Genomic DNA, 22,218 nt, shown 5'->3' on the forward strand with positions numbered 1-22,218 from the left:
TCAGATTCAGCAACTGCAGTTATTAATTTTGGTTGGTTTTTCTTTTATTTACGTAGAAATTATTATTTCTTATTTCATGCCTAAATGTTTGCGTCAACGTCAGTAAATACAATCTACTACCAAGTCCGAGCAGATGGTTCCACTGGTTGGTAAAGAACAAAAGGTGACTGCAGGAGAAATGGACCTACATTGTAGCTATGTTACATTCTTTCTGTCTCTTTTTTCCTTTGAACGAGAGGATGCATTGACAAAGAATCTCTCCTTGAACAAAGTTAGGTTCCTCTGAATCCTCTTCCCAACTAGTCCTCAACTTTTGGACTTCCGTGTCTATCTTTGCATCACTGAATTTTAGCAAGAATTCTGTCAAGTCAGTTTAGTCAGAGTCCTCCATCTTTGATATCTGACTAATTTCTTCATTCTCCATATCCCCCAGGAATTGCTCATTACCCTGGTCTGCCTTCAGCAAGAATCCTATTAGGTGAGTTTGGCAAAGAATTATCCTACCCTCTTAGTAATTTTCTATCCATCTACCTCCCACCCAACTCCTTGGCTATAAATCTCTCCTTTTCCTTGTATGTGGAATGGAGTCCAATCTCTTTCCCCCACTGCAAAACCCCATGATAGTATTCCCCCCTTACCATTCAAGTAAGTAGGCTGCCTTACCATTATACAAGTGTCACAAATAATTTTTTTCTTTAACAGAATGTAGAAAAATTAGCAATACAGACAAATACAAAGGACATACTCCTCCCCAAACAACTCTGTGGACTCCTTGGTCTGTATCTTTTCCATTTCTTTTCTATATATGCTTCCAACAACGGGGTCATACCATAGTTACCACATTGTAACATGATTTTTCATGGCACCATGTATCATGATTTTTTTTTCATATCAGTAGACAGATTTCTGCAACATTTCAAGTAGCTGCATAGTATGGAGGCTTCATGTTTTAGCTGGACAATGATCTATTGTTGAACGTTTTCATTTATCATCCCAACTTTTCTTTATTGAAAATAGTACTGACATGAATATCCTCTTGTAGCTAAATCTTCATACACATCTTTAATTATTTTCCCAAAACAATTTTCCAGAAGTGAAATTGCTGTACCAAAGGTCATGAATATTTTAAGGTTCTGATAAGCAGGACCAAACTGCCTTACAGAAAGTTTGTTCCAATTTACATTCCCATTCACAGTTAAAAATGACCAATTTCTCAAGGATCTCACAAATATTGCTTATTATACATACATATTTTTCCCATTTTGATGGTAGAAAATGGTATCTAGTTGCTATTTTAAGTTCACTTCTTTGATTACTAAAAAAATGAATATTTTAATGCTTATTTGCTGTTTGTTTTCCTTTTAATTCTTTGTTCTTTGTTAGTCCTTTTTCCCCAGTGGAATGTTCTTTTTTTCTCATTGATTCATAAGAGAATATTATATTAAGAATATTTATATTCTTACATATTAAAAATATTAATATTCTTACATATTAAAATATTAATATATATTAAGGATATTATATATTAAGAATATTACCATATTCTTCATATATTAAGAATATTACCATATTCTTCATATATGAAGAATATTACCATATTCTTCATATATTAAGAATATTACCATATTCTTCATATATTAAGAATATTACCCATTGGGTTTTTATATTAGAAAATTTCTTTCCTAGATTACATGTGATATTTATTGTGAATTTTTTGAGGTACAGAAGTTTTAAAAGGAATTAATTAGTAATTGCTATATACTAATTATTTTGGTAGAGAATTATATTTTTTATAAAATATACAATTGAAAAAAGGGGAACAATCTTTGCTTAATTTCACCCAGTAGTTCTGGTATGGTTTGGCTGTGTCCCTGCCCAAATCTCATCTTGAATTGTAATCCCTGTAATCACCACATGTCAAGAGAGGGAGGTGATTGGATCATAGGAATCATGGGGTGGTTACCTTCATGCTGCTCTCTGACAGTGAGTGAGTTCTCACGAGATCTGATGGTTCTATAAGTGGCACTTCCCCCTTTGCTTTCTTCACACTCTCTCTCGCCTACTGCCGTGTAAGATATGCCTGCTTCCCCTTCCACCATGATTCTAAGTTTCCTGGCCTCCCTAGCCATGGGGAACTGTGAGTCAATTAAACCTCTTTTCTTTATATTACCCAGTCTCAGGTATTTCTTTACAGCAGTGTGAAAATGACTAATACAAGTTCTGAAGAGCGACTTAAACTTAGAATCACCTGAGATGCATTAAAGCATCAGGTGTCCTGCTGTCTGGGGTCTACACTGAGGAGATTCTAATTGGTTTGAGGTGGGGCCTGACATTGTTGTGTTTATAAAGCTCTGCAGGTGATTCTAATTGCAGCTAGTGGACCAAGGGTAACTCTAGTTTTTCTCATGGTGCCAATAAGGTACAGAAATTTTAAGAAATATAGTCTCTGAACTGTGGCCCTGTATAAAACCATGGTGTTGTGGCAAACCTATCACAGGTTATAACATACAGTTTATTTAAGGTTTTAACATTTTAACCAAAGAGACACATATTTCCTACCACCAGGTTTTGTTTACCTCTCACAGTAAGTGACTTTCTGAAGTTACAAGTACTTGGACAAAGCAAGAAGCAGAGGATATGTTATTGGTGTGGTTAAGGGTGGTGTGGCTGTTGTTTTTTCCCTCAAGATTTTGCTTGTTGGCTTAAGGCCTTATTTACTTTTTTCTTGTACTAGGTGCATACACCTAGAGCAATAACTAATACTAGTACGATTACTACTAACACCATTCCTGTTGCATAGATCAGAGCATCTCAAAGTTTAATCTGCAAAGGAAACACCTGGAGATCTCTTAACATGCAGATTCTGATTCTGTAGAACTGGGGCTTCCTGGGATTCTGCATTTCTAACAAGTTCCCAGCGGGAACAAGTGATGCTGCTGGTCCTTGGGCCATACTTTGAGCAACCAGGTAATGATTGATGAGACTGGGTTTAGAGATTAACCACATTTCTAGGAAGTAGCAGAGTATGTATTAAAACCCAAGTTAGCTTGACTTCAAGGTCACTGCCTCAATATCTAACAAAATGACACACGCATTTGCCTTTTGATCCAGCGATCCCAATTCTAAAAATCTGTGAAGATTTACTTTCAAAATATAAAAAACATGTAAGTACAAGATAAGGCACTGCAGCATGATTTGTGATAGTAAAATACTGGAAACAACCTGAATGCTCATACACAGGTGAATGTTCATTCACCTATGTCCGTACAATGAAGTACTATGCAGCTGGAACAAAGAATGAGGAAGATCTCTATGACCTGAGCTGGAGTGATGTCCAGGATCTGCTGATGAGTGAATAAAGCAAAATGAAAAAGAATATATAGTATGCTATTCCTTTTGGGAAAAACAAAGGGATATACAAAAATACATATGTGTCTCCTCCTTCAGTGCAAAAGAAATACAGGAAGGATAATCCAGAAACTAAGATGGTTGAGTATCTGCTGGGAATGGGATGAGAGTGATGAGGAGAGAGCAACACTTTCTGAATATACCATTTTGTATAGCTCTGGCTCTTAGAAATATAATGATATTAGGCTGGCCACGGTGGCTCATGCCTGTAATCCCAGCACTTTGGGAGGCCAAGGTGGGCAGATCACCTGAGGTCAGGAGTTTGAGACCAGCCTGGCCAACATGGTGAAACCCCATCTCTACTAAAAAAAAATACAAAAATTAACACACGCCTGTAATCCCAGCTACTACTTGGGAGGCTGAGGTGGGAGAATTGCTTGAATCTGGGAGGCAGAGGTTGCAGTGAGACAAGATTAAGCCACTGTACTCCAGCTTAGGTGAGAGAGTGAGACTCCATCTCAAAAAAAAAAAAAAAAAGAAAGAAAGAAAGAAAGAAATATAGTGATATTTTACATACCCTCTAAAATAAATGTGTAAATAAAGTTAACCAGGATGAGGAGGCACAGAGTAATATGAGGCCCAAAATGGAATACAAGCAATAACAAATGAACCTAAATGTATTACAAATGAGTAATATAACCATACAGAAGGGGAGGATGAAGAATCTAAGAAACTTTAGAAAATAGCATCTTGACTGCATATGTAAGTACGTAAGGCTAAAGACAGAAAGAACTGTAGATAAATGTTATACTCTAGTTGGCAAATCTGTTTCCCATTGGGGTAATGGGTTAGCAATTCTGCAACCCCGCAATGTACAGTTTGGGCAAATAAGCAATCAACTCATCTTGATTTTCCTGGACTTCCCTGGTTTTAAAACAGAAAGTCCCATGTCTCAGGAGCCCTCTCAGTTCCTGGCAAACAAGAAAGGTTGGACACCCTATATACATGTGAATGTATTTTAGATCAGAAGAGTAAGACTTCATTGCTGGAGAAAAAAAGCTACAAATAAGAAAGGGAAAAGAAATTAATCTTGTGGTATTAGATTGGAACTGGAGGTGTCAATATAAATTTGTGGTTTTTAATGCAAAAATAAACCATTGAGTGTGTATGTGTTAGTATACACACACACAGTATTTCCTAACTCTGCTTGCTTTGAGGCCTAAGGACAATGACCCAGTAGCACAGAGATTTTAGTTTTGAAATACCTTTCTAAAATCAAAGAAACAAGGGCTCTTTGGAGAAGTTGATTCCAGACTGGGGCAGGGAAATACAAGATAAGCCTGTGGTGCCAGAAGTTAAGAAAGTGCTTGAAAAGAATTGGGTACATTAAAAGGACACAGGAATCAACCTGAAGGAGCTCTCGATTGCCAAAGCTGAAACAATTTAAACAACAGGATGGGCATAGTGATTCATGCCTGTAATCTCAGCAGTTTGAGAGGTCGAGGTGGACAGATTGCTTGAGCCCAGGAATTTGGGACCAGCCTGGGCAACACAGCAAAACCCCAACTCTATTAAAAATACAAAAATTAGCAGGGTATGGTGGTGCCTGCCTGTAATCCCAGCTACCCAAGAGGCTGAGGTGGGAGGATCACTTGAGCCTGAGAGTTCCAGGCTGCAGTGAGCCGAGATTGCACCACTGCACTCCAGCCTGAGTAACAGAATGAGACCCTGTCTCAAAAAACAAACAAACAAAACAAACTTAAGTAACAAAGTAAATGATAGTGTTGGATTATAACCCATAGAATGAAGTACATATCCATGAGTTCGCACTGATATACATAATTGAGCAAATAAGTAAACAGGGGAGAAGGGACAGCTTTTCTTTACAGAGGAACTCATATGTAGAAGGACCGAGCAAAGTGAAAATCATCACTAGGTGAACATCATAGTAAAAATTACTGTGGACAAAATCCACTGATGGATGCTAAAATTAGTGGGCAAAAGTTCAAAGAGAAACAAAATGCTAGCCTTGTCTCAAGTATCTTCCCCAAGATATTTATCAATTACCGAGAAGAAAATGGTAACTTTACAGTAGAGAAACTTTGTACACACTACCTAAGCCCAGTGATCAATGTTAACATCGCCAGTAATAAGACATTAACTTCATGAAACCCCGGCTATGACGCACTGAGGACAAAAACACACTGCTGTGGTGTTCTTGCCAAAAATTGTACAACCTCAATCTGGTCATGAGAAAACATCTGACAAACCCAGATGGATATTTTATGAAATAACTGGCCAGTGCTCCTCAAAAGGGTCAAGGCCTTGATGGATATAGAAGGACCAAAAAACTATCCCAGATTGGAGGATACTAAGAAAACATGACAACTGTATGCCATGTGGAATCCTGGATTGGATACTGGAACAGAAAAAGAATATTGGGGGAAAATGTGAAATGTGAATAAGGTCTATTTTTAAGTTAATAGTATAGGCTGAGTGCAGTGACTCATGCTTGTAATCCCAGTGCTTTGGGAGGCTGAGGCTGAAGGACTGCTCTCTGAGGCCGAGAGTTTGAGACCAGCCTAGGCAACAAAGTGAGACCCCATCTCTACAAAGTTTTTAAAAATAGCCAGGCATGGTGATGCATGCCTGTAGTCCCAGCTACTCAGGAGGCTACGCTTGGAGGATCACTTGAACCCAGGAGTTTGAGGTTACAGTGAGTTATGCTTGCATCAGCCTCCAGCCTGGACAACAGAGTGAAACCTTGTCTCAAAAAGAAAAAAAAAGGTATAGTATCAATGTTGATTTAATGATTTCATGGTTTTGATCATTATTATATAGTTTTATAATTTTTTAACATTAGAGGAAGCTGAGTCAAAGGTATATGTAGGCTCTCTATACTATTTTCGCAATTTTTACATCTAAAATTATGTCAAAATAAAACATAAAAATCTAAAAATAAAAAATAAAGTCACAGCCCTTCCCACTATGAGGCCATTTCATAGTTGGTACCTGCTTGCCAGCTGCCCCACCCCAAAGCTCTGTGATATAATGAATCTCCCTTACCTAGCTCTGTTACTCAGTACAACACTGACACATCAAGGTGCTCAGGAAATGATTGGTTTTTACTAGTTTATCACTAGATAATAATGTACTATTTTAAGTTACTTTACTTGGCTAATGGATGGTTATTTGGTGACAAGCTGGTGGCAGGGTTCTCCCTGTTTTTTAAAGCTGGTCTGAGTCAGCATGAAACTTTCTCATTCTGGGCATCTTGGGCTATGATCACAAGAACAAAGCGAATTCTGATTTTCTTTTCCTAATCAGATCCAACTCTATTGTTAATTTTACAGTTGCAAATAATGCTAGACAGCATTTATTATATGCCCACTCAGAATCATATTCAAAACCAGGAAATCCACATTTGTTCCTATAGGTGCATTTTTAGACATCACCTTATAAAGCATGGAATTGTAAAATTCTACTTTCTGTATGTTACCCTCTTCAATCACAGCAGAGACTTGTGATCCCCTAAAGGGCAGAGGGCACAACATCCATCCTTCAGTCATCTGGATTACCGTTTGTTCTCTGATCTTTGGTCCTCCATTCTCCAGTTCCTGGTTTCTGCTCTTTTGGAGTCACACAACTTAGTTCTCTCACCTGGAAAAAGAGAGAAGATAATATCACAAAGCAGGGTTGTGGTGAGGATTAGAAAACATGATGTGTAAATAACTATGGTACAAAAGCATGCACAAGTGCTTAATACATGTTCACTTCCTTGTTTCCTTCAGTTTCTTCTGTGCCACAGGGCCTGCTTAACCCATTAACAACATATAACAGAGTTTGGCATTAAATAAGGTTTGATACAGTCCTCAAACTACAAACTAGAGTGTTAACCTAAAGGCTACTGTTCCAAGGTTTATAAAAAATTATAAGATTACATAAAGTGCCCTAACTATAAGCTCAGCAAACATGTAAACAATCTAAATATTCAGTATTATAAATTTGATCAATAGAAAATATGCTGATGGTGATAAGTATCAAATTAAACATTCTCTGGGCAGTTGTATTTGTCTCTTATAGGAAGTTTTTAAAGAGATGATTTGCATAATTCAGACCTCTTAGAAAGTTTTTAGAACATATTTGGACTGATGACTTCTTTTTTATCAGTTATTCAGTAGTACACAGAGACGTGTTCCGTGAATGTGTTATTAATCATGATAATTAAGATGACAATGGTGTTTGATACTGACAAATTCATTTTAAAGAATTAATCCAATTTTTGCCCTCTTTAACATCCTCAATTTTCTTATTTAAAATTGTAATAGTTATAGAAACAAAGGTTTATTAAAAGCTTACTATATTATAAGCATTATTCTAAATCTTGTACATGTATTAACTTTTTAAATTCTCCCCAAAACCCTGTTATAATGATAACAGCTCATGGTTCTATAGCATTTACTATGTGCCAGAAATTGTTCAAACACTTTATATGCTTTAATTCACTTACATCTCACAGCAGAAATGTGATGAAATTATAGTTGTTAACTTATTTATAAGGAGAATAAAAGTAACTTGCTGAAGACTACAAGCTCAGGCAAAATCAAAGTACTAGGAAATAATAAATGTCATTCTATCACTTTACTTTTGGCTGTCATGGGTCCTATTTAATTTTATGTCTGCCAGCAAAAGAACACTTAACACTGTGTCCTAATAACAGATAAACTAGACCATTAAAGGGGACTTCAGATCACCATCAGAGAATTGCTAAAATGATCGCAATATCCTGAATATGCTTGATGTGTTTTCCTTTGTCATTTTCAACATTTTGCTGAATTTCTTGTCTCTGGGTGTGTGTGTGTGTGTGTATGTGTATGTGACAGAGAGACAGAGAGCGAGTGAGCACGCGCACAAGAGAGCGCTCCTTTCCTGCCCTCCTGGCTTGACATCATGGAGAACTAAAACTGCCCTTTTCCCAATGTCCTGAAAGCTGAAGCTAGACAACTCTATATAAACTTCATATAATTCACAACAGATAATGTCTGGACAACCTTTGCTGGCTGCTGTGAGGGCCATTCAGAAAGTTCAACTAAACACCAAATGCCACTAACAAAGACACTCAAACTGCAAACCAGGAAACCTGTCAGATTGCTACATGCCTGGTACCTGAACCTGCTGTAGCCATCTTGCACCCAAAGGGGAGTTAGCACACTGAGGATAGAGGGGAAAGAATCTGGGTCTTTGAGATACAATTGAGTAGGTGAACCAATGGATCCTGGAATTACTATACCTCTCTTATATAAGACAATAGGCTTATTGTGAAAGCAGTTTTCAGTTTGGGTATCTATACTTGAAGCCAAAAGCCTTCTGATACAGACATATTAACTATACTCATATTTCCCTCCATGTTCATGTAATAGTTGTTTCGCAGAGGGAAATATGAGTATAGTTAATATGTCTGTATAAGAGTATACCTTATCTTGGTTTACTCTTCAGAGATATAAACATGCAAACCACACATACACACAAACACACCAGGAGGTCTCACTACAAATCAGTGCAGTAACAATCCCCAAATCTCAGTGGCTTAAAACAACAAATGTTTATTTCCTGCCATGCATGCCTGCTGTTCATGTCTACTGTGAGTTGGCTCTATGTCATCCTCTCTCTGGGACCAAGACTGATGGGGAGCACTAACTTGAAAAATTGCATGTCACTTCAGCAGAGAACAAAATACATCCCATGGATCGCATACTGGCAATTGGATGCTGTAGCCCAGGAGTGACACACATCATTTCCTCTTCCAACTCACTGGCCAGAACTAGTCACACAACCCTGCCCAACCACAGGACAGCAAGGAAATGCAATGGGATCATGTGCCTGGAATGAGAGAAGTGGAACGGCACTAAGGACTACCAAAGTTTATTAAGTATTGAAGCTGCTAAATAAGGCTATTCAACAGGGGAGGGGAAATGAGGGGTGGCAAGTAAACAGGTGAAAGAGTTTTGTTGTTGTTGTTAGCATTTGGATTTTCTTAAACTTTGAAAGATTGAAGTATGACCATAGAGATAAGTGTGCAAATCATAAATGTACAGCTCAATGAATTATCAGAAAGTGAACTCATTTGTAAAATTACCACCTAGATCAAGAAATAAAATATTACCAGTTCCCTAGAAACCCACGTTGTGACCCCTCCAATTTCTACTTCTGTTCTTCCTCCCAAAGTTATCCTATAGACTGAAAATTTAAAAGAAATACACATTTTCACACTCATCATGAAGGAAGTAGAAAGTATCATTCCTTTGGGGTTTCTCTAAACCTTGGGGAGAATGACTATATTGTTATTTTGGATAACTGAAACCTACAGAGGGTAAAGAATGAATCTGAGTTTACTAGGAAGTAGCACAAACCAGGGAGAACTAGGTTCTCTGAGACTTGGAGGATGGAAAGTTCTGTGAATGGAAATGATACAGGTACTTGCTCCCCTGCACTCCTCAAGGTGTCAGGACCTACGATGATGCTGTACCTTGCTTCCTGGGAGTTAGCATTGGCCATCTTGGCTTTGGAGGCTTGCAGCCCAGACTGAGGCAGACTGGAATGCTGATGAGTTTCTCTGTGGCAGCTATGCCTGATAAACAGCAGAGGGCCAAACTCAACGCTGGTACTGGGAAATGACAGGAGAAAGAGAAGTGATAGCAACCAAACCGGACTAAGGCCAGGCCCTGCCCTATCTCCTGGCCAACACTCAGGATTCCCATTCTATCCAAGGGGGGGTGGTGGTGGTGGTAGTTAAGTGTCCCAGTAATGACCACTTTTGTATGTCCTCCCAGCCAAGGAGGTGGAGGCACAAAGCCAGATATAATTTAGCTTAAAACACAAAACAGGCCAGGCATGGTGGCTCACAACTGTAATTCCAGCACTTTGGAAGGCAGAGGTGGGTGGATCACTTGAGCTCAGGAGTTCAAGACCAGCCTAGGCAACATGGCAAAACCCCTCTCTCTACAAAAAATACACAAATTAGCCAAGTGTGGTGGCGCATGCCTCTAGTTCCAGCTACTCAGGAGGCAGAGGTGGGAGGATCGCTTATGCCTGGGAGGTCGAGGCTACAGTGAACCCTGATCTTGCCACTGCACTCCAGCCTGGGCAACAGAGTGAGACCTTATCTCAAAAAAAAAATAAATAAAAAATAAAAAATAAACCCCACAAAAACAACAAACCCACCAAAATTAAACATTAAAAAACAAAAAAAAAATTATGCTGTTTCTAGCCCCTGATTTAAGGAGCAAATTTAAGTGGAGCCATGTCTGGACTCTGCAGAAAATGTTGCAGTTTACTGGTGATGTCTACTATGGGCGCATCTAAAGCTATGCTGTCTGCCATCTTTGTTGTGGAGTTTGGTAAAATCATGTTCCTCTCCCTCCTCACTTATGGGATAGGGTGGGTAGGGCCTCTTTCCTCGGTTGTTATCTGAGCAGAGGATAGTAATTCCATCTTCCTTCAGTGCCAGGTGGGCTGTGAATGTGAACTTGTCCTCAAAATGCAGTTTCACCTTCCTGTTGTTGATGTCCAAGTCTGAGGTAAAGCAGCGGAGCAGAGGGTTGGCACTGTGTGTGTTCTCTGTGAAGCCCAAGGTGTACCAGTACCCTGACATAAACTGGGGAAGGGGCACACAATGAGTGTATCATTCCGGGTCCAAGCAGAGAAGAAGATGGATATGTATATATAATTCATTTGAAACACAATTATAGGAGCTGGCTAAGCAGCCTCCCCAAGGCTGTTTCCTTGACTAATGTTTGAGCCTGAAGTCCATGAGCAGGCAGGCAAGGAGAGCTGATGAGAGCAACCTAGAACCCCACGGGTTCTAGGCCAGACTGAAACTCATCCTTTTTTTTCCCTCTCACCTTGATGATGAGGGTATCCTGCAGAAGTTGAGGCCCTGTGTCATGTTGCTGAACAAGTCATCACCCACCCCAGGGGTCAGAGAAGCTGTAGGAAGGTCCAGAGGGAAGGGAGGGCAGCGACAGGCCCAACCACAGCTTCATGTCAACGAGGTGAGTCAGCAGATCAGCAAAGCCTGTCCATGTGCTGCAAAATGGCTGTCCCTGCCATGCCTCCCTCCATCTCTCATGAGAGAATAGCCCTCTAGCTCTTCCTAACTGGAAACACAGGAGAAAGAATTCTGGGAAATGTAGTCTAGCCTAGCCAAGTTAGCATATTCCAAAGCTCACTAAGGCTGTGGCTCTGCCCACTTCTCAGGAAGTGAGTTTGGTCTTTAAACCAATACCATGTGGCCTCCCGTTTCCCCAGCTGTTTTCTGCCTCTGCTGGCAGAGCCGCTTGTGTTAGTCCAGGCCAAGGAGCAGACACCAAGCTAGATTACATGTGCAAGATATTTACTAGGGGAAACACCTATGAAAGAAAACAGGGAGGAAGCCGAGAAAAACTTGGAGAGCTTTCATACCATGATGCGAGTCCAACCTGGGGGAAGGAAGAAATGAAGGTTGGATAGAAACGACAGACTTCGATGCAATTCTAAGGAAGGTTGGGCAATGCTGCCTGTCAGAGCAGCCCTGCTTTTCCCTGAGGCAGGTCTGTTTTAGCATCCCGATGTGCTTAGGAGCAGCATTTGGGAAGTGTGGCCTGCAGGAAAACGCAGAGTTGCATTTCAGAGCACAGCGTTGGGGGCTCCTCGATCAATTGCTCTCCCGGCAATAGGAGGTCCAAAGGTGCCTTGTCCTGGCCATGCTGCCTCGTTCTCATTTCTTGCTTTGGTCAAAACTCAATCAGCCCACCTTCCTCTTTTGGAGCATGAGAAGTAACTAACTAGGGCCAGGAGTCTTGCTGGCGCCTCTTTTGCCCAATGCCTGATTTCTGTTCAATCAGGATAAGCTGTCAGGAGGAGATGGTGGCCATACTTGGAGGTGAAGGGAATTCCAGAATATTCAAGGAAGATGGAATTGTTGCCTTGATCATACAACTGGTCTAACCTTAGATCATTTTATGAAAGTGTTTGGCTAAATATTAAACACTCCTGATGCCCTGTGATTTATTACATATTTCTTAAGGAAAAAAAAAACAGAACCAATGAAGTTTTCTGCTATGAAGGCGGAAGTATGGGATTTGCTAGAGACAGGGATTTGGAAAATATAGGTCAAGGCATTTTCTGCAGTCTTTTATTTCTATTCTCTTGAGAAATCAAAGGTAAGCATCTGTAACAAATGAACGTAATGAAATGGAAATAATTTTTGCCTAGGCATTGGGAAGTTAACGATTCATTAAAATGTTAACTCCTGGAAGGCAAGGATTGTTTTTCTGAAGCTGTGTGACACCTAGCGGGTATCTGTACAAAACAGGACTTAGTTGCTCTTTGGCAGTGAGTCTTTTGAATTTTTGGCTTTCTTTTCATAGTTGCGTAACAGCAAAAATAAATTAATTCCCATTGTTCATGGGAAATGTGGGGTGGAATGCACCACAGCCTTACCAAAGCCTGACATTAGTATCTCGCGTTTACAGCAAACAAACTCTAGTTTTGCAATAAGTGCAAATTACACTTTTGCAATTCTACTTTTTCTGTAATGCTCACTCACCAGAGATTCTTTTCCGATCGAGCATACAGTCCCCATCATGGTTTCTCATCTATGCAAAGATGGAGTGTGAGTGGCTCTACTGACCTTTGTTCTCAGTTTTCTGCCCTTAGGGTCAAATTATGCACTTTTAATGAGAATTCATATCATTTTTTTTCAATGAAAATACGAAGGGCTGATTGGCTAGATTGTTGAAGCCTGTACTGACAGCTAATAAACGAAAAGGATCATCAAGGAATCATCTCCCTTCCAGTGTACCTGCCTAATGGGAAAAACACAGAGGTAAATTGTCTTTATTCCCTGTTAAGCCCTAAAAATGGGAACAACAATGCCTTCGGATTCAAATTCCCTAGAGAGCATTTGTTTGTTTCAAGGTTACAGATGAATAAGCCTCACACGCTCATTAGGCCCCACCGACCTCCTAATCAGCTCAGGAGATACTGAAAAGCAACCCTCTGTTAGTAATTTCTGGCTAGGACACTGTCTTTTTTTTTTTTTTTTTTGAGACGGAGTCTCGCTCTGTCGCCCAGGCCGGACTGCGGACTGCAGTGGCGCAATCTCGGCTCACTGCAAGCTCCGCTTCCCGGGTTCACGCCATACCCCTGCCTCAGCCTCCCGAGTAGCTGGGACTACACGCGCCCGCCACCGCGCCCGGCTAATTTTTTGTATTTTTAGTAGAGACGGGGTTTCACCTTGTTAGCCAGGATGGTCTCGATCTCCTGACCTCATGATCCACCCGCCTCGGCCTCCCAAAGTGCTGGGATTACAGGCGTGAGCCACCGCGCCCGGCCAGGACACTGTCTTGAAAGAACTTGTTTTCCCCTAATTTAGAGCAGTCCCCTGGGTGTAGCAATGTTTGCTGGAGCTTGGTAAACAGTCTGTCTGACACATTGCAGTTGTTGGCAGCTTCACACCAAGATCCTCATCAGGTCTAAAGACTCAGAAGTGAATTCATTAATATCTCCCAGACAAGGCCTTCCACTACTGCAACAGTTATCAGGAACTAGGATGAAGAATGAATTGGGGCCGGGTATGGTGGCTAACGCCTGTAATCCCGGCACTTTGGGAGCCCAAGGTGAGCGGATCACTTGAGGTCAGGAGTTCAAGACCAGCCTGGCCAATATGGAGAAACCCCCTCTCTTACTAAAAATATAAAAAATTAGCCAGGCATAGTGGTGAGCACCTGTAATTCCAGCTACATGGGAGGCTGCAGCAGGAGAATCGCTTGAACCTGAGAGGCAGAGGTTGCAGTGAGCCAAGATCAGAGTGAGACTTTGTCTCAACAACAAAACATGAATTGGAAACACGTTAAGAGCCCCAACCTTGGATTACTTAGAAAACAAGCCTGAATCTCTTTCCCATTGATAACAGTGTCTGTTTACCCATTTTCTTCTACTTTATTCTTCATAGCCAGGCCTATCAATTTTGCCTGTAAAAAGTCTCTCATTGCTGCCTCATTCTCTTTTCTCCCACAATCAGGGATTGTATTCAGCTACACTTGTAAGGTACAGGTAAAGCCATGACAGCTGGCAAATAGCCACTGGTGAGTGCTTCCCCCCACCCCATTATCAGCCCTGGGCCGACCCAGCACACACCAGAGCACCAGGCTGGCCACAGCTCCAGCCCGGTTAGATGATCTGCTCTACCTAAGTCTTTACCGCCTGTGATAGGCTGATAAAAGTCCCCAATATATCAGGTCTGTGGTAGCTTACCTTAAAAGTCAGACACCTGTGATTATTATTTCAAGTTGCCAAAGATGTCATTAAGTGAAGGATTTTGAGATCAGAAGATTGTATTGGATTATCTCGGTGGGCTTCTAATGTAACCCCGTAGTATGCCTCTAAACAGGCAAACAGATTTTGTGTCCAGAATTGGTGGGTTCTTGGTCTCACTGACTTCAAGAATGAAGCCGCAAACCTGCTCAGTGAGCATTACAACTTTTAAAAGCAGCGTATCCAGAGTTTGTTCCTCCTGATGTTCGCATATGTTCGGAGTTTCTTCCTCCTAGTTGATTCATGGTCTTGCTGGCTCACGAGTGAGGATACAGACTTTCACAACAACCGTTACAGCCGGTAGGACTACTTAAGACAAGACAGCCTTCACTCCTCCTGGTGGGTTCATGGTCTCACTGGCTTCAAGGGTGAAGCTGCAAGCCTTCACGCGGAGTGCCACAGCTCCAAAAGTAATGTAGACCCAAACACTGAGCAACAGCAAGACCTATTACAAAAGACCAAAAGAACAAAGCTTCCACGGTGAGAAACCAAAACGGACAGCTTTGCTACTGCTGGCTTGGGGGCAGCCTGCTTTTATTCTCTTATCTGGCCCCACCCACATCCTGCTGATTGGTCCATTTTACAGAGAGCCGATTGGTCTGTTTTACAGAGAGCTGATTGGTCCATTTTGACAGGGTGCTGATTGGTGCATTTACAATCCTTCAGCTAGACACCAAAGTTCTCCACCTCCCTACTAGATTAGCTAGATACAGAGTGTCGATTGGTGTATTTACACACCCTGAGCTAGACACAGAATGCTGATTTGGTGTATTTACAATCCCACAGCTAGACATAAAGGTTCTCCAAGTCCCCACCAGATTAACTAGATACAGAGTGCCGATTGGTGTGTCCACAAACCCTGAGCTAGACACAGGGTGCTGATTGGTGTGTTTATAAACCTTGCACTAGATACAGAGTGCTGATTGGTGTGTTTACAATCCCTTAGCTAGACATAAAGATTCTCCAAGTCCCCACCAGACTCAGAAGCCCAGCTGGCTTCACCCAGTGGATCCGCACCATGCCGCAGGTGGAACTGCCTGCCAGTCCCACGTCGTGTGCCCGCACTCCTCAGCCCTTGGGCAGTCGATGGGACTGGGTGCCGTGGAGCAGGGGGCGGCACTCGTTTGGGAGGCTCAGGCTGCGCAGGAGCCCACGGTGTGGGGGCAAGGCTCAGGCATGGCGGGCTGCACGTCCCAAGCCCTGCCCTGTAGGGAGGCAGCTAAGGCCCAGTGAGAAATCGAGTGCAGTGCCGGTGGGCCAGCACTGCTGGGGGACCCGGCGCACCCTCCGCAGCTGCTGGCCCCGGTGCTAAGCCGTTCACTGCCCGGGGCTAGCAGGGCCGGTTGGCCGCTCCGAGTGCGGGGCCTGCCAAGCCCACGCCCACCCGGAACTCTAGCTGGCCCGCAAGAGCCACGCGCAGCCCCAGTTCCCGCCTGTGCCTCTCCTTCTGCCCCTTCCCGCAAGCCGAGGGAGCCGGCTCCACCCTCGGCCAGCCCAGAGAAGGGCTCCCATGGTGCAGCGGTGGGCTGAAGGACTTCTCAAGCGTGGCCAGAGTGGGCGCCAAGGCTGAGGAGGCGCCGAGAGTGAGCAAGGGCTGCGAGGGCTGCCAGCACGCTGTTACCTCTCAATTTGACAGCTGACACACAAAGAAGAAGGCCATGTGAATATGAACAGGGAGAGACTTGAAGATATTGGCCTTGAGAATTGAAGCATTGTAGCTATAAACTCAGGAATACCAGAGCTACCAGAAACTGTTAAGAGGCAAGTAACCCATATTCTCCTATGGTTTTTAGCAGAAGCATGGTCCTATTGACACCTCTATTTCAGACCTCTGAAATCCAGAACTGTGAGAGAATAAATTTCTGTTGCTATAAGCCTCCCAGTTTGTGATAATTTGTTATAGCAGCCCTAAGAAACTAATATACCACCTTGTACCAGAATCATAGCAGCCTCCCAGCTGACTTCTTTTTTTTTTTTTTTTTCTTTTTTTTTGAGATGGAGCCTCTCTCTGTCGTCCTGGCTGGAGTACAGTGGTGCAGTCTCAGCTTACTGCAACCTCTGCCTCCCAGTTTCAAGCGATTCTCTTGCCTCAGCCTCCCAAGTAGCTGGGATTACAGGCATTGGCCACCACTCCTGGCTAATTTTTTTGTTTGTTTGTTTTTAGTAGAGATGGGGTTTCACCATGTGGGCCAGGCTGGTATGGAACTCCTGACCTCAGGTGATCCACCCACCTCAGACTCCCAAAGTGCTGGGATTATAAGGGTGAGCCACTGTGCCCAGCCCCAGCTGACTTTTTGCAGGGCAGTTCTCTCCTCCCTAACCCGCCCTGCGCACTTAATTTTCCTGAGCTCCTCTGCATGGTTTCCGAAACTTTCTATAATGTGTTCCTGTCTCTTACTGGCATAGCTTTAGTTTCCATGAATAGTAATAATAATAACTTTATTGAGTGCTTTCGATGTGCTAAGCACTGTGCTGAAAGATTTATTGCAAATGTGACATTTCATTCTTGCAAAAACACATTGAGTTTAGTATTATTATGCTTACTTTACAGAAGAGGAAACTGATGCCCAAAGAAGTTAGGTAGCTGCTCACGTGAATGGCAGAGCTGCAGGCACCCTCATGCTCTCAGCCAGTGTACTGTTTTTGTTCTCCCTCCCATCTGCTTGTTTAAAACTTACCCTCATTCCAGACTCAGTGCATAGACCACCTTCCCTCCAAGCCAAGTTCTATTCTTCTGTAAAATATCTTCTTGAAATATAATAAAAGATTTTTTAAAAACGTTGAAAGTGTTTTTTTGTTTTGTTTTTATTTATTTATTTTTTTTTTTGAGACGGAGTTTCGTTCTTGTGGCCCAGGCTGGAGTGCAATGGCACGATCTCAGCTCACTGCAACCTCTGCCTCCCGGGTTCAGGCTATTCTTCCGCCTCAGCCTCCTGAGTAGTTGGGATTACAGGTGCCTCCACCACGCCTGGCTAATTTTTGTATTTCTAGTAGAGACGGGGTTTTGCCATGTAGTCTAGGCTGGTCTTGAACTCCTGACCTCAGGTGATCTGCCCGCCTTGGTCTCCCAAAGTGCTGGGATTACAGGCGTGAGCCACCGCGCCCGGCCAAAAGTACTTTCCATTCCCTATAGAAAATGTGGAAAATACAAGGAAGAAAATGCAGCTCCTGAGTATTTCAACCTTGGAGGGTTTTCTCCCTAAGCATAATTAAAAATGTAGATTTTAAAAATTAGGATTATTCTTTTTATCCTATTTTGTAATATGGTATTGGCTCAGAAACATAGCCCTTCCCCAAAGTTTTTTTTATTGTTCCATGCATGTTAGTTTTCTAAGTAGATTTTAAACCTAGAAAACAGAGGTCATGATTTATACCATTTCGACATTTCTAGTTACCTCAGAGTATATAATTGGGTACATGGCACTCATTCAATAAACACTTGAATTAACCAAGAAAAATGTTTAATCAACAAATATTTATTGAGTGGGTTAGGCTTCTCTGACCTTTTAGTTAACAATAAACTTAATCTGTGAGTTGAAAGCCCAGCTGAACAACTCACTTTAGGTTGGAATAACCTGCTGATCTTGGAGACAGAAGCTCATGCCGCTTATTAGTGTCTACACATAGGGTGAGCCATTAAAGCTCTGTCAGCCTCATTTCTCCAACTGTATAGGTGAGAAATGTGTGCTTGATTACCTTATCAACTCTCTCACCTCTTCCAGGATTATGTGAGAACCAAATGAGGTAATGTTCAAATGACATAATACACAAGAGCACTCCATAAAATAAGGAGGTATGTTGTCATTCTTCTTTCTAACCTTGCTATAGTGGGTGAAATGTGTTCTGAATATACTTACAATTTGTCCCCACTATTGATCACATCTACATCTTGGTAACATGATCTAATATTATAGACTCCAAATTATTAGCATTTATATTTTAAATTATTACTTTTTTTTTTTGTTTGAGACAGAGTCTTGTTCTGTTGCCCGGGCTGGAGTGCAGTGGCGTGATCACAGCTCACTGCAGCCTCGACTTCTCAGGCTCAAGCGACCTTCCCATTTCAGCCTCCCAAGTAGCTGGTACCACAGGCACACCACCATGCCATGCTAATTTTATTTTATTTTATTTTTGTAGACATGAGGTCTCCCTGTGTTGCTCAGCCTGGACTGAAACTCCTGGGCTGAAGTGATCATCTCGCTTCAGCCTCTCAAAGCGCTTGGATTACAGGTGTGAGCCATCCTGCTTTTCCTAGGATTTTAATCGTATTTACAACAATTTTTAAAACTTAGTTTTAGTGCTCACTGCTAGTTCCCTTCAGTCATGACTTTCTTATTCAGTGTTTGAATTCTTTACTTTGTGAATATTTCCAAGTAATTGTTTTAGAAAAAACACAAGTGGTAAATCATCCAGTTCTTTAATGTCTGGACAATGTCTGAATATTCTTCTGTTGCCCTTTATATTAGAGTTGCCAGATACAGGACACCCAGTTACATTTGAATTTTCAGATCATCAGTGAAAACATTTTAGTATAAGTACGTCCCATGTAGTATTTAGGACATACTTACATTACAAGCATATTCATTGTTTATTTTAAATTTAAATTCAACTGGGTGTTATGTTTGTGTTTTAATTTTCTCAACTTGGTAGCCCTAAAATATATACAACAATTTGATTATAGAATTATTGGGTTATAGCCTTTTCCTCTCAAATCTTTGAAAGTGATACACCATTAACTTCTTTTTTTTATTATTATACTTTAAGTTTTAGGGTACATGTGCACAACATGCAGGTTTGTTACATATGTATACATGTGCCATGCTGGTGTGCTGCACCCATTAACTCGTCATTTAACATTAGGTATATCTCCTAATGCTATCCCTCCCCCCTCCCCCCACCCCACAACAGGCCCCGGTGTGTGATGTTTCCCTTCCTGTGTCCATGTGTTCTCGTTGTTCAATTCCCACCTATGAGTGAGAACATGCGGTGTTTGGATTTTTGTCCTTGCGATAGTTTGCTGAGAATGATGGTTTCCAGCTTTATCCATGTCCCTACAAAGGACATGAACTCATCATTTTTTATGGCTGCATAGTATTCCGTGGTGTATATGTGCCACATTTTCTTAATTGAGCCTATCATTGTTGGACATTTGGGTTGGTTGCAAGTCTTTGCTTTTGTGAATAGTGCCGCAATAAACCTACGTGTGCATGTGTCTTTATAGCAGCATGTTTTATAATCCTTTGGGTATATACCCAGTAATGGGATGGCTGGGTCAAATGGAATTTCTAGTTCTAGATCCCTGAGGAATCGCCACACTGACTTCCACAATGGTTGAACTAGTTTACAGTCCCACCAACAGTGTAAAAGTGTTCCTATTTCTCCACATCCTCTCCAGGACCTGTTGTTTCCTGACTTTTTAATGATGGCCGTTCTAACTGTACACCATTAACTTCTAACCACCATTGTGGAGTCTGATTTTTATTCCTCTTCTGGCAACCTTCTTTTTTTGTTCTTCTGAATGTGGTAGGGATTTTTCTTTGTTTTTATGATATAAAGATTTGTAAGGACATATAGGAATTTCAGGCCTTTAATCAAGGCTTATAAGACTTTTGGGACTTTGGAAATTATATCAAGTATCTGGTAACCAATCTTCATGACTTACCTTAAACTTTTCCTCCCCGACCCCTTTTTGTTTAAATATGAACTTATTGAGGATGTCAGCTGTGTATTTACATCTCTGAGCCTGTAATCCACAGAACAGTGAGAGAGAGTTGAAGAAATGTTGGTTACAATATCAAATGAATGAATGGGGCTGAACATTAGAACTAGCCACACGTTTCTCATGCATAGTGTCGTCAAATGATTGCACAATAGTTAAGTGTAACAATATGAAGATAAACTCTGAGAAAAGTTCCCCAACATAAGGAATACCCTCAAGAATGAAGCAATGAACATTGGTTTCAAGGAATGGAGAGATTAAAACAGGTCTTATTTTTTGGTATGGAGGATATGATGCAGAAAAAAATTTAATTACAAAAACATAGGCTATTAGGCTATTACTTTATTCAGAAGCAGAGTGAAATTCATATTTCATTTTGTCACCCTTGCTGAGAGGCCCAGGAGCATGAGAAAATAATTTTCCCACTTTGTAATGAATGACAACAGGGTACCCCCACTGTTAAGAAGAGCAACATTCCAGCATTTCACAAAGCCGAGAGGCCAGGGAGAGCTCCTTGGATTGGGTCCAGACAGACTGTTCCTGGAGAGGGTTGTAAAGGGCAAAGACTTCTGAGGCCATCAGCATGTTGCAAAGGGAGGGAAATACCCTTTGATGTGAGACGGCAACCCTGAGTCAGCGGCCTAATTTCCAGTCTCAAACTGTCTGTAAAATCAAATCACAATCGGACTTTGCTGCGTACTTCGGCTCTGAGGTCGTCACCCTCCAGAGAGTGAGTTCATCTTCCTTTAGTTACCAATCTCTCCCAGCTCTTCCATGACTGGAGCAAATAATGCACATATGGCACGCAGTTCTGCAGGTGCTGTGAAGATTTTTCTCCACTGCCTGTACTTTAGCACAGATTCATTTTCTTTAGAGCAATAAAGGTAAATCTTCTTTGAATTATCAAATCTTAGCTGCTAACCTCAGTGAGATTTAAGCTGCTTCTAATTTGGATCCCATCTGCCTTGCCTTCCTTTATTGGCTTATTGTTTATTCAGTCACATAGCTTTCCCATGGCATCTGATTTCCCATGAGATCCTCTTCTTTAAAAGTTAAGTAACAATAATAACAACAGTCAAGCTCCCAGTGTTCTAGAATTCTACCTGGAGCTTTTTTCTTCAGCTGAGCTTGATCCCAGCACCACCCTGGATGCTAACCCTTGGATAGTGGCTGCTACCTCAATAAGGTCCTGAGTCTCTCTCATAATTAAAAGATTATGTGACTTCAAGAGCCCAGAGGGAAAGCGTTCTCATTCCTAGAGCTGTATCACCACTGTTCCTGATAAAGTGTGAAAAAATCAAGTCTTGAGCAATGTCATTGCCAGCTTGTAAACTTGAGTATCAGAATGTCACACCAGGAGTTTTCAAACGGCATGTGTGTGTTTGTGCGTATGTGTAGACCTACATATAGGCATGACATTGATAACTATGAGTTACAAATGGGTTATGCAACTGGAGAATGGATCAGACCCAGTATAGAATCTTTTCTATTGCCTCCAGAGATTTATCTTGATCAGAATCAAAGCCTTGACATTTTTAACCATTTATTGAAACTCTATGGCTCTTTTCTTGAATTAAGAGATTTGATTCTTATGAGAATCTGGAAAGGACAACAAAGGAGGCGCTGGTCTCTGTCTGCTGGCAGGTGTTTGGCAACGTTTAGGAGAACGTGCATATAGTGTTATATAGGATGGGGCAATGAAGCTATTTCTGAATCTTTGAACTAAGTCTTGCTTTTTTGGAACATTATCATTTCAAGTGTGCTATTTTACCACACACTTCCAGGTCATGGTGGCC

The 22,218-nt window shown here is 41.5% G+C and overlaps 1 long non-coding RNA gene across 2 annotated transcripts in view, besides 4 other annotated features; it reads right to left on the bottom strand.

Moving 5' to 3' along the window:
• LOC102724520 (uncharacterized) overlaps positions 1 to 15,214 on the bottom strand; it is a 28,166-nt gene extending 12,952 nt beyond the window's left edge. The window contains exons 1-3 of one of the 2 annotated variants that reach the window (XR_427883.5): positions 14,644 to 15,214; positions 9,875 to 10,012; positions 6,927 to 7,008 (exon numbers count right to left, since the gene is read on the bottom strand). This is a non-coding gene — a long non-coding RNA (uncharacterized LOC102724520). The remainder of the gene's footprint in view (positions 1 to 6,926; positions 7,009 to 9,874; positions 10,013 to 14,643) is intronic. The other variant, XR_427882.5, reaches the window with a different exon arrangement.
• Positions 1,803 to 2,476: an enhancer, noted in NCBI's record as "OCT4-NANOG hESC enhancer chr6:15745025-15745698 (GRCh37/hg19 assembly coordinates)". NCBI's record gives its function as "activates a minimal SCP1, AML or CMV promoter by ChIP-STARR-seq in primed H9 embryonic stem cells {active_cell/tissue: H9 hESC(primed)}" and the evidence as "EXISTENCE:reporter gene assay evidence [ECO:0000049][PMID:30033119]".
• Positions 2,477 to 3,150: an enhancer, noted in NCBI's record as "OCT4-NANOG hESC enhancer chr6:15745699-15746372 (GRCh37/hg19 assembly coordinates)". NCBI's record gives its function as "activates a minimal SCP1, AML or CMV promoter by ChIP-STARR-seq in primed H9 embryonic stem cells {active_cell/tissue: H9 hESC(primed)}" and the evidence as "EXISTENCE:reporter gene assay evidence [ECO:0000049][PMID:30033119]".
• Positions 14,713 to 14,913: a silencer, noted in NCBI's record as "peak5688 fragment used in MPRA reporter construct". NCBI's record gives its function as "represses an SCP1 promoter by STARR-seq MPRAs in K562 erythroleukemia cells {active_cell/tissue: K562}" and the evidence as "EXISTENCE:reporter gene assay evidence [ECO:0000049][PMID:32103011]".
• Positions 18,133 to 18,333: a silencer, noted in NCBI's record as "peak5689 fragment used in MPRA reporter construct". NCBI's record gives its function as "represses an SCP1 promoter by STARR-seq MPRAs in K562 erythroleukemia cells {active_cell/tissue: K562}" and the evidence as "EXISTENCE:reporter gene assay evidence [ECO:0000049][PMID:32103011]".

This window comes from Homo sapiens, chromosome 6 (genome assembly GCF_000001405.40).
Source record: "Homo sapiens chromosome 6, GRCh38.p14 Primary Assembly".
Taxonomy (NCBI): Eukaryota; Metazoa; Chordata; class Mammalia; order Primates; family Hominidae; genus Homo; species Homo sapiens.